Source organism: Homo sapiens, chromosome 22 (genome assembly GCF_000001405.40).
Source record: "Homo sapiens chromosome 22, GRCh38.p14 Primary Assembly".
In the NCBI taxonomy this organism is placed as follows: domain Eukaryota; kingdom Metazoa; phylum Chordata; class Mammalia; order Primates; family Hominidae; genus Homo; species Homo sapiens.
This window is the reverse complement of record NC_000022.11, coordinates 32375250-32387327: the sequence shown is the minus strand read 5'-3', so window position 1 is coordinate 32387327 and position 12078 is coordinate 32375250. Positions and strand designations below refer to the sequence as shown.

The window sequence follows — 12078 nt, the reverse complement described above, 5'->3', positions numbered from 1 at the left end:
TCCATGGGGCCGGGTGAACAAAATGGAGGTAGGTGGTGGTGCTGGTGATGGAGGGCACAGCAGAACCAGAGGCCTGGCCTCCCTCCTACACATGCCTTGCAGGGCTTTTTTTTTTTTTTTTTTTTTTGAGACTGAGTCTCGCTCTGTCACCCAGGCTGAAGTACAGTGGCGGAATCTCGGCTCACTGCAAGCTCCGCCTCCCAGGTTCACGCCATTCTCCTGCCTCAGCCTCCCGAGTAGCTGGGACTACAGGCGCCCGCTACCATGCCCAGCTAATTTTTTGTATTTTCAGTAGAGATGGGGTTTCACCGTGTTAGCCAGGATGGTCTTGATCTCCTGACCTCGTGATTCGCCCGCCTCAGCCTCCCAAAGTGCTGGGATTACAGGCGTGAGCCACCGCGCCTGGCCCTTGCGGGGCTTTTTATTGTGGTTCTGGGCCCCTGGCTTGTTGCTTCCTGTGTAGAGGACAGCCCCACTCCAGCCCCAGCCATCTGTGCTGTCTTGATAGGGGCAGACCTGGCCATGCAGCAGGGCTATACAGACCCTTGCGGGCCCCGGCTTCCTACTGACATTCTCTTCCCAAAGGCCCTGGCACACAGTGCTGAGCACCTGGGCACTCACAACTGCAGCTCCAGGCAGATGTGTGAGCAGGTTGCCCATCAAAACTCCAGCTCTGGGCCACTTGGTGCTTGGGTTGGGAGAGGCAGATGTGGCATGGAGGACAGGCAGAGATAGGAAACCCCTGTGCTGGGAATGGTTCTCTTGGGGGTCGGCCCTGGCCATAGCCTCCCCTATATTTTACTGGGGACCTAAGGTGCCATCTACAACTCTCCTTTCCTTTTGTAGGGAAAGTCCCTAGATCTCAACTTTCTCATGGGAATCATAAGAGAGATGAGACCCAGGGTTTTTTCAGTCTCTTCCCAGCTACAGTCCACATATTTCCTCCACGTATGTTTGGAAGTCAAAAGACCCTTCAGAACCCTAAATCCACCCAGTTTATACTTGTTCCTGGGCTATGTCATCCTAGTCCCAGAACCTGGGAAGATGCCACCATACCTAGAGGAGGCCATGAGGCTGTCACATCTAACATTCTGTGGATATGACCTGCTTATGCGCTCTACTGGAAGTATCTGACACTTCAAGTAGAATTGAGGCCCAGGCATTGTCATCTGCTTTCTTTACTAAATTATGCCAAGCCACTGGAAAAGTGACTGCATAAATTACATTTTTCATATATATCTGTTGAATGAATGAACCTCAACCAGAACCTCTACAGATACCTGAGTGAGCCTGGGGCCCCTCCTTCAGGACCCAAGGGACCACTGTTCTTTCTCTGTCAAGGACAAAGACCAGTTAGAAAGAATCACAGACATCCTTTACAAATGCAAAAACAGATTTGCTTTCTGTGTGCTTTTCCAAACAGGGATATGGGCCATTGAGACAGCATGCCCAGAGCTCCATTGAAGGGAAAGATAATAAATGTGAACTATAGCATGCTCAGCAGCCTTTTCACAGAGCCAGGCACTTGGGACCTGCTTGCCATGCCTTAGGCCATTTAGTTCCCATAAGAACCCTATGAGGTTCATCTCACTGCTTTACAAAGGAGCAAACAGGCTCAGAGGGCTTCGGTGACATCCTCAAGACACAGCTAGTCGGAGACAGTCACCACTGTGAGTTGGAGGGGATGGACATTCACCTGGTAAACAGTTCCTCCATGAAGTCTGGCACGGTGATAAAGTCCCAGGAGGGGCCCAAACAGGTGGCATAGGAGGAGATGGTTCTACCCAGAAAGGCTGGAACCAGGGCCTTCACCAGTTTCTCCCCTGTACCTATCTGGAATGTTCGCACCCTGTAAGTCTCCTCATTTTCATACTGGGGTGACAAGGAGAGACCTGTCATTGACAACACCATGAACCACCAGAGGATTGGGATCTGGAGCTCACACAAGGAATCCCCAACCCTTTGGAGACTTGTGGATGTGGAGGACATGGGTTCCCATGGTGGAAAAGGTTCTAGACTTTAAAATTTGACATAAGAGTGGAGAATAGGGCGTGGTGGCTCACGCCTGTAATCCCAGCACTTTGGGAGGCTGAGGCGGGCGGATCACGAGATCAGGAATTTGAGGCCAGCGTGGCCAATATGGTGAAACCCTGTCTCTACTAAAAAAAAAAAAAAAATTAGCTGGGCTTGGCGGCATGTGCCTGTAGTCCCAGCTACTCGAGAGGCTGAAGCAGAAGAATCACATGAACCCGGGAGTTGGAGGTTGCAGTGAGCCAAGATTGCACCACTGGACTCCAGCCTGGGTGAAAAAACAAGACTCAAAAAAAAAAAAAAGTGGAGAATAATGAAAAACATTAGTGCCTTCAAGGCATCCTCACGGTGTTTGTCAGCTGTGAAGCAGTGGCACCTGCTGTATTAGTAGCCTACAAGAGCATCATCCCAGTGAGTCCTCAAAAATCATCCTCATGGTAGAGATGAGGAGACGCGGGCTTTTGGATGTCAAATGGCAGTGCAGCAGCACCTGGGTCAGAGCTGAGCACCTTCCTGGCCGGGCGTGGTGGCTCACGCCTATAATCCCAGCACTTTGGGAGGCCGAGGTGGGCGGATCACAAGGTCAGGAGATCGACACCATCCTGGCTAACACGGTGAAACCGTGTCTACTAAAAATACAGAAAATTAGCCAGGCATGGTGGCGGGCGCCTGTAGTCCCAGCTACTTGGGAGGCTGAGGCAGGAGAATGGTGTGGACCCAGGAGGCGGAGCTTGCAGTGAGCCGAGGTCACGCCACTGCACTCCAGCCTGGATGACAGAGCGAGACTCTGTCTCAAAAAAAAAAAAAAAAAAAAGAACTCAGCACCTTCCAGAGGGAGGGCTACATGAAATCCCCTCTAGGCCACCTGAAGCTCCACTTCTGATATGGAGGGAAAGGGCCTGGGGAGGCCTCGTCCCCTCCTCATTTTAGAGACAGTGCACAGGACAAGATGCTTTAGAAGAATGCTTTAACTTAAAGGAATATAATTGGATTTCATCCTTTAACATCAAAGGGAGTCTGGAGAAACAGCTAAGGCCATTTCAGCCCTTGGCAGGGGGAAAATGCCGGAAGACTCCAGGGTGGGAGAAAGCCCATCACAAGGCCCAGGATCTGAGAGGAGACTCACTTCTTCCAGGTCCAATCCCCTATGCTCCTTCCGTCCATAAGACCTACTCAAAGGCCCCACTGGGCTTCTGACCACTCACCAACCCCCTATTCTTACCTGTTCCTACCAACTTCTTACCTGTTCCAAATTATGCAAAAAAAGTGCCCCCTCGTCACCCTGGGAAGACCTGGAGGCAACTAAGGCCCTAGGTTTGAGGAGACAGTGCTGGGCCAAACCTCCTTGATCTTACCAGTTCTGTGACCCTAGAGAAGTTTTCTGGTGTTTTGGGGCCTCCCCAGCCCTGCAACATGCACAATGGGGTTTTGCTAGCATCTCCTTCCTGGTGAACTCATCAGGTGTCTTTGAGATAAATCTTATAAAACTCATTGTTTGGTGTCCCCTGTAGATACTGCACACGCTTAGAGATGGAAGAATTTCAAGAAGAAGTGAGGGGTGAGAGGTAGCATGGAATACAACTCCAATGGGCTTGGGGTCCACAGTGTGATCTCGAGAAAGGCATTTTTGCTCTGGGCCTCGTTTTCCATGCGCACCAGTAGAGGCTGAGATTATATGAAATTCAGCCCTCATCGTCCTCTGACATTGCACTTTCCAGTGCCTTCTGATTCTATTTAGAACCAGACCCTGTGCCTCATCTCAGCCTATGGTGGGCAGCGTCCGCAAGGATCACAGCACTGAGGGGTTAGTGACGCCTTTCTGAATAGAATACAACCCAGATGATGGGATAGCACTTCTATGCTAGTTCAGGCTGTTAGAGCAAAGAGCCATAGCCTGGGGAGCTCATCCCCAGGGCAGACAGAATTGTATTTCTCCCAGTTCTGGAGGCTGGAAGTCGGATATCAGGGTGCCAGCCTGGTTGGGCCCTGGTGAGGACTGTCTTCTGTGTGGCAGACTGCAGACTTCAGGTTGTGTCTTCGCCTGGCAGAGAGAGGGAGAAGAGAGCTCTCTGGGGTTCCTTTTAATAAGCCAGCAATCCCATTCATGCGGGCTCCACCCTCAGGACCTCATTACCTCCCACCTCCTGATACCATGAGATTGAGGGTTAGAATTTCAACATGTAAACATACGATCAGGCATGGTGGCTAAAGCCTAGAATCTCAGCACTTTGGGAGGTCAAGGTGAGAGGATTGCCTGAGCCCAGGAGTTTGAGAGCAACATGGGCAAAATAGGGAGCCCCTGTCCCTACAAATTAAAAAAATATATATTAGCTGAAAATGTTCGCATATTTCTGTGGTCCCAGTTGGGAGGCTAGGACAGAAGAACCACTTGAGCCTGGGAGGTGGGTGCTGCAGTGAGCCATGATGGCACCGCTGCATTCCAGTCTGGATGTCAAAGCAAGACTCTGTCTCTAAACAAGTAAATACATTTGGAGTGGGGAGCGTTCGGCTCACCATTCCTTGCCTAGGCCTCCTCCTCTTCCCAGCCTCTGGTAACCGCTATTGAACTTTCTGCTTCTAGGAGATAAATTTTTTGGATCCTGCATGCCTGAGATCATGCAGTGTAGATCTCTCTCCAACCAGGGTCATTTCATAGTTTACCTAATGTCTTCCAGCTTTCTCCACCTGGCTGCAGAGGTGATAGGATTTCCTGGAGTGTTATGGCTGAAGAGTATTTCATTATATATATATATACATATATACATATATATATATATACACACATATATATATACATATATATATATATACATACACACACACACACACACACACACACACACACACGGCATTTTCTTTATCCCTTCACCTGAGGATGGACAGATAGGTTTATTCTGTACCTTGGCTGTCGTGACTAGTGTTTCAGTCACCATGGGAAGGCAGATACCTCTTTTGAACATGAGGATTTCACTTGCTTTAAAGGTATACCCAGTGGTAGGACTGCTAGCTGAAACGGTAGTTGTATTTAGCGTTTTGAGGAACTTCCAACTGTTTTTCACAGTGTGTAGAGTGATTTAATTCCTACCTATAGTGTATGAGAGTTTTCCTTTCTGCACGTCTGCACTGGCCATCCCCTTCAAAAATTATTGTTTTTGTTTTCGTAATATGCTTTTTTTTTTTTTTTTTTGAGATGGAGTCTTACACTGTCACCCAGGCTGGAGTGCAATGGCATGATCTCGGCTCACCGCAACCTCCACCTCCCGGGTTCAAGCGATTCTCCTGCCTCAGCCTCCTGAGTAGCTGGGATTACAGGCACGTGGCACCACATCTGGCTAATTTTTTGTATCTTTAATAGAGATGAGGTTTCACCACGTTGGCCAGGCTGGTCTTGAACTCCTGACCTCATGATCCACCCCCCCTTGGCCTCCCAAAATGCTGGGGTTACAGGCATAAGCCACCACACCTGGCCTGGTAATATGCATTTTTAGTGAAATAAAATAGTAACTGAGTGTGATTTTGATTTATGTTTTTGTGAGAATTAGTGATTGTGAGAAACTTTTCATTTGTGTCAATTTCATGTCTCCTTTTCAGACAGGGTCTATTCAGGTCCTTTAGGATTGGGTATTTGAGGTTGCAGGGGTTTTTCATTTTGTTGTTGATACTGTTTATTTCACCTTAGTCGTGTCAGTTTGTTGTACATGTTAGATGAGAATCCGTTTCAGAGATAGAATTTTCTCCAAAATTCTCTCTCAGTTTTTAGGGTGCCTTGACTCTTGGTTCATTGTTTCCTTTGCTCTGTAGAAATCCTAAAGTTTTACCTAGTCCCACATATTTATATTTGCATACTTTAGTGGTAATTTTTTATGCACCTATTTCCAATCCCTTATCATCCTCCCTTCTTCCCCCAAGCTCTAGTAACCGCTGTTACACTCTCTAGGTCTTTGAGATCAAGTTTTTTTTTTTTAGATTCTGTATGAGTGAGATAATACAAGGTTTGTCTTTCTCTGCCTGGCTCATTTCATTTACCATCACATCCTCCAGGTACAACCACAGGGCTCCCCATGAGGTGATGTCATCGAATTTTCCTGGCTGAAGAGTCGTCCTTTGTGTACACACATGGGAGTTTATTTTTTCATCTGCATATGGACGGTAGGTTGATTCATTTCCCTGACTGCTGTGAATAGTGCTGCAGTCCACCACCTCTCTCTTCCATGTACCAATTTCATGTGGGTTGAATGTATACCTAGCAGTACAATTGCTAGCGGAAATGGTCATTGTAGTTTTAATGTTTTGAGGAAGCCTCACATTGTTTCCGTAGTGTATGTATTAGTTTACTTCCCCAACAAGTGTGGAGAAGAATTCCCCCTCTCTAGAAATCCACACTGGCCAGTTGCTGTGGCTCACGCCTGTGATCCCAGCACTTTGGGAGGACGAGGCGGGTGGATCACCTGAGGTCAGGAGTTCAAGACCAGCCTGACCAACATGGTGAAACCCCGTCTCTACTAAAAATACAAAAAAAAAAATGAGCCGGGTGTGGTGGCAGGCACGTGTAATCCCAGCTACTCAGGAGGCTGAGGCAGGAGAATGGCATGAACCCGGGAGGTGGAGCTTGCAGTGAGCCGAGATCGCGCCACTGCACTCTAGCCTGGGTGACAGAGCAAGACTCCGTCTCAAAATAAAAAAAAATTGATATATCACATTAGATGATTCTATGAAATCATCTACTATATAAAATAAATATATATTATACATAAAATAAAAACACAAATCACACATTGACAATAACCCCTGCAGTCCAAGTACACCCCCACAATAGTACAAATTACACTTTAAAAAAAAAACTCAAGACATTTACACATTTAAACCAAAGTAATTGTCACTAGACTAAATACATTCATTCATCAAGTACAATAAATTTAGCATTGCTGCTTATAGTCACTAATAGCACAATTTTAGGTGCAATTTCACATGCTTTCATAAATCTTCCAGTACAGTTCCCATAGCAAAGTGTCTTTGTGCACGCCATCTTCATTTATATGCAGGTGCATCGTATATCATACTTAAAACTATTTTACGTCACAAGCTGTTAATATACATTTTAAGTGGACAGCAGGTAAAAAATTTAAACCTCAATGATGACAAAATTTAAAATTAAAGTCTTGAACACCTATAGTGATTTGTTTACTTGCATAAATACTATTTTCACTTAGTACAGGCTATTAAAATAAGCAGAGAATTTAAATATTAACTCAAAAAAAGATAGAGGCTCAAAACCTTCCTAAGAAATTAATGCGTTTTCAAAGTAATAATATAATGAGTCTGTAAGTCAAAAGGAATTTCATATTTATTGCCAAATTTAAAATACCAGTGATGTGAAGAGAAGATTGAGGCCTAAAATTGTGGTACTAAATTGTAAAATACAGTAAAGAAGATGCAGCTCATTTGCTTGGGAATATGTAATGGAATATTTTTCACAGTAATTTTTTTTTTTTTTTTTTGAGATGGAGTCTCGCTCTGTTGCCCAGGCTGGAGTGCAGTAGCACGATCTCAGCTCACTGCAAGCTCTGCCTCCCGGGTTCACACCATTCTCCTGCCTCAGCTTCCCGAGTAGCTGGGACTATAGGCTCCCACCACCACGCCCGGCTAATTTTTTGTATTTTTAGTAGAGATGGGGTTTCACTGTGTTAGCCAGGATGGTCTCAATCTCCTGACCTTGTGATCCACCCACCTCGGCTTCCCAAAGTGCTGGGATTACAGGTGTGAGCCACGGTGCCCAGCCAAGCCCCTGGATTTCTAATCCCCACAGTGGACTTGAGGAGTACAGTTGAACCCAGAGAAGATTCCCTGGCTTCTGCTGATACCACATGGTCACAAAGTCATCAACATTAAAGCCACTGCTCAGAGCACAGGCAAGTCTCGAAGTTCTCAGAGATAAAGATAGGGAGGTGAGTGAGTCAGTGCATACTCGGAGAGGAAACCAGGAACAGAGATGCTCATGGGTGAGGCAGCAAGGATACAAGTCTAGCTCTTCAAAGAGAGGAAGAGAGGGCACTGACCCAGGCTGGTGGCTGCTCAAGACATCTGAGGCCTGCCCCACGGCCTTAGCCACAGCTGCAGCAGGTGCCAGTTCAGCCTTCCTCATGTCTCGCAGCACCCCCATAATGAAGTAGTCAACCCCAACAAAAATGTGTATGCATTCTCCTGTCTTCTTCACTCAGGGCCTCTCTCTCCTCATGGATCCTAAGGCCCCTCTCTCCCTGGTCAGCCATTCGCTGCATGTGCAGCCAGTTCCAGGCCCTCAGCCAGCACATCTGCAGGACTGGCTCCCCAGTGGACACCATTGTCACCCCCACGGACACCACTCCCCTTTCCTAGCCTCTCATTCTAGGGCCTCCTGCTGGCTCCAGTGGGAACTACTTTCCATCTTTCCAGACCCTTCCCACATCCCTAGGTGGCAGCACAGCCTCAGCCAAGGACACTACCACCTTCCTGCACTGGGGTTCTGTGGCCCCACCCCAAATTTGAAACTTTCCACTAACCCTGGAGCCACTGCTTAGCCCATATCTGGGGCCCCTGTGGGGCAGCAGCACAGATCCCCACCTTTGACCACTGTTTCCAGTTTGGAGGCCTGCCACCTCCAGCTCCAGTCCAGCCCCAGCCTCCTGGAGGCCAGCCAGCCCCAGGCACCAAAACACATTCAACCTTGGGGGGCCATTACTCACCACTTCTACCTTGACCCCACAAGCACCCACCCTGCCGTATCCCCCTGGCCCATCCACTGCCCCTGGCTCTGCAGCTGCCACCTACACAGCTAGTGCCATGGCCACTATTTGGCCCAACGTACATTCTGGTAAGATGAGAGGGACAACATTTTTATCCATTTTTCCATGGATCAGGAGCTCTTTCTGTTTATGAGGCTGTGTTCAGCTATGTGACAGAGACAATCAGCCTTACCCATAATGCTGGAGTCCAGAGGTGGACAGAGGGTTTCTATTGACAAACCTGCATCTGGATAATGAGGCTCAAATCTCTGAAGGTCCATCCTCCCTGTCCTAGGTGACAAACACAGTGGCTCTGCCTCAGAGTCCATGGCACCAGTTGCCATGGTAACTCCCAATGTCTCTACTGCCCCTTGTGCAGGAGAAGGTGACCTCAGGGTCTGGGGCACAACAAGAGCTTTACAAGGGGAATTCTGCATGCACAGGTTGCGGAGTTCCTACTCCCTGATGTCCCACAACCCTCCCCGCCACCTGGACTGTTGAAAAGCTCCAATGGTAAGGTATGAGAGGAGAAAACACAAGATAGTTTCTGTGGTCTCTGAGAAAATCACCCATGGGGGTCCCTGTGGTCCTGAGTGGGATCAGCTATAGGAAAGTCACATCCATGAAATCAACATCCCCCAACTTCCCCAGAGCAGGCATGGTGTTTTTCCAGCAATGGTGGAGCCTCGCCTTCACCCTCTCACGCTCCACAGAGAGGTTTGCTGGCCTCAGGCCCTCATTTCCCCCCATCCATACCCCCAACCTCCTGACATGAACACTGAAGGTGCAGGTACCTACCTGTGAGTGACTCTGGCCACATCTTCGCTGGAACTCCCCTGGGACCTGTGTCCTCACTCATTTCACACCTTAGTGCCTCATCCCTGGGTCACGGGGAGCCTCAGGCAGCCCCAAGCACAGATGATCGGGGTTGGAGGGAGGTGACTGGAGAGGGACAAGGAGGTTTCTGCTCTGATCCCTCAAAGACAGTAGTCCATGCTGTAGCGACTGTCTACCTGCTTGAATGGTCTCCGGCCTCTGGCCGAAAAGAAAACTAGGAAAGGCTCATTTCTCTTCTTCCAAAAAATAATAATAATAAAAAAGTCAACTCCACAGGCTCTGAGTTTTGCTCATCTAGATAACCGGGCAACACCGCAGTGTATCAGGAGGTTTTTGTTTTTGTTTTCAGCATTCCTGAGACTTCAGAAACATTCTATGGAGAATTGAGAAGAGAGTATTTTTTGAGCCAGAAAGTGCTTTCCTGTGAAGTTTGTATATGTGAGTTATTTTAATATCTAAACATTGTCAGAGAACAAGACTCTGAGCAGGCTGAGGTTTTATCCCGCCTCCCCACCTGTGTGTCAGTGTGCGAAGGACTGCTGTGCTCAATCACACAGTAATTAGTCAGCCTCGTCCTCAGACTGGAGCTTAGATATGAGCAAAAGCCCTTTATTGGACCAGCCTTCCATCAATCCAGAGGAGCAGCTCGGGACCCTGGAGCCCTGGTCATGAAGTACATTTTGGTAGTGGCTCAGGAGATACCAGGGAGGGCTCCCTGGCTTATGCTGGTACCAGTATATCCAATAGAAATCAGCATGGACGCCAGTGCTCAGGATGCAGGGAAGTGCGGCTGGTGCTTCCAGAGATGCAGAGAGGGAGGGCGGCTGAGTCAGCACAGGCTGGGAGAGGGAACCTGCAGACACAGGTGGATATGGCTGCTGGCTCACTTACCAGCATGAAGTTGCTGGAAGATCTGAGCCAGAGGGGACTGCTGAAGCCTGGGGGACCTGCCCTGGACGTGGGAGGCCTGTCCTTACCTGGGAAGTGAGAGAGGAGCAGCAGGAGGACAGGAGCCATGGTGGACACAGCCCTTCTGAGGTCCAGAGCTGGAGTGGGCTGCTCCAGGCCTCTCTTATCCCTTCCACTGACCTCACAGAGGAGGAGTTACAGATGCCAATGTGTCCCCACATTGCCTGCCTCTACTTTACCCCATGTATTTATTCAAGTCCTAGGGGCTGGTGGACAGGGGAAGTCCGACAGGCCAGACCTGGGAAGAAGTGGGTGCTGGAACCACACCCAGGGAGGGCACAGCTTCCAGGTCAGCCTCAGTGAGTGCAGGCTCCATCACCCAGCCCTGCGGAATTTGTGGGGTAGGAGGGGGTTGGCACAGTTGTGGCTGCCCACTGCACAGACCCTGAGATCCACAGTGTCTCCTGCTGCTCTCTCGCCAGACTGCATTCCCTCAGTAGAAGTCATGTGAGTGGTGTCGGCCTGAGAGCCTAGTGAGTGTCAGTCTAGAAGTATCTATGGCCACGCCCTGGGCCATGGCCCAAGTTGCTGATACTAAAAGAAAGACAGCATTTTTCAATACGTTTTTCTTGCATTACTAGAAGGACATGGGCAAAATATCACCTCCACCCAATGAAAGGAGGCTGCGGGGAGGCTGCAGAGGGCTCTGGGAGCAAAGTCCTGGGCAGCTCCTTCCACAGAGGCCAGGGAAAGAGGTGATTGTGACTTGGGTCTCACTGGGCTGTGGGGTCCTGCTCTGGAACAAATACTCACACATTACTAGCTTTGGAAAGATAGGGCTTTGGAAAAAAAAAAGAGACATTTTCAATGCAATGATATGCTGAGGGGATGACAGAATACATCATTGATGAGAAGATTGAACAAGTGAAGTGTAAGTGTCAAGTCAGGTAAGGACATTTGAATCCAGACTGTAGAGGTCCTTGTGTGTCAGTGAGGGGTTTGGTTTGATTCATTATCTGGGATTGTTTCGGGTTGTGAACTGGAGGCAGAATAGATGAAACTGACAGTTTAAAAAGACATCCTTTGGTGTCAGGTTCAACAAAGAGCCTGAAGGCAGCCAAACAGGAGAGGGGGTATCAGGAGGGTTGATGGCTGATCCCAGGGATCTGGAGGAGGAAGGAGAAAGAACCCAGGAGAAACCACAGGGTAACTGTGTCCCTAGAGGAACGGTGAGAGAGGGATAGGGATAAAGCTGAGTGTTGTCGATGGGTTGACCAGGTGGGTTTTATTGTTGTTAACTGTCTTGCAGAGAGAGAGAGAGAGAGAGGAGAGAGAGAGAAGAGCCCAACTGTGCACTTTCTCAAGAGAAAACCTGTATCAATAATCAATAATAAAATGTACCTAGATCACCTCCCTACTCATTGCTGGAACTTTTACCTAGTGTCCTTTATGAAAGAAATACCTAGTGTCTTTATGTAAGAAACTATTTCAACATTTCTTCAAATTATCTCCCATATTACTTGCTGAGTTTTGTAATTAT

General features: G+C 48.3%; 1 long non-coding RNA gene and 2 pseudogenes across 1 annotated transcript; all 3 read right to left on the bottom strand.

Annotated features, from left to right (window-relative positions):
- On the bottom strand, nucleotides 12-660 carry RGL4P1 (RGL4 pseudogene 1; annotated as a pseudogene).
- On the bottom strand, nucleotides 2985-10664 carry LOC339666 (uncharacterized). Its single transcript, NR_038918.1, has 3 exons — nucleotides 10607-10664; nucleotides 9591-10002; nucleotides 2985-4072 (listed from the first exon to the last, which is right to left on the bottom strand). It is a non-coding gene; the product is annotated as an uncharacterized LOC339666 (long non-coding RNA).
- IGLCOR22-2 (immunoglobulin lambda constant/OR22-2 (pseudogene)) lies at nucleotides 10193-10646 on the bottom strand (annotated as a pseudogene).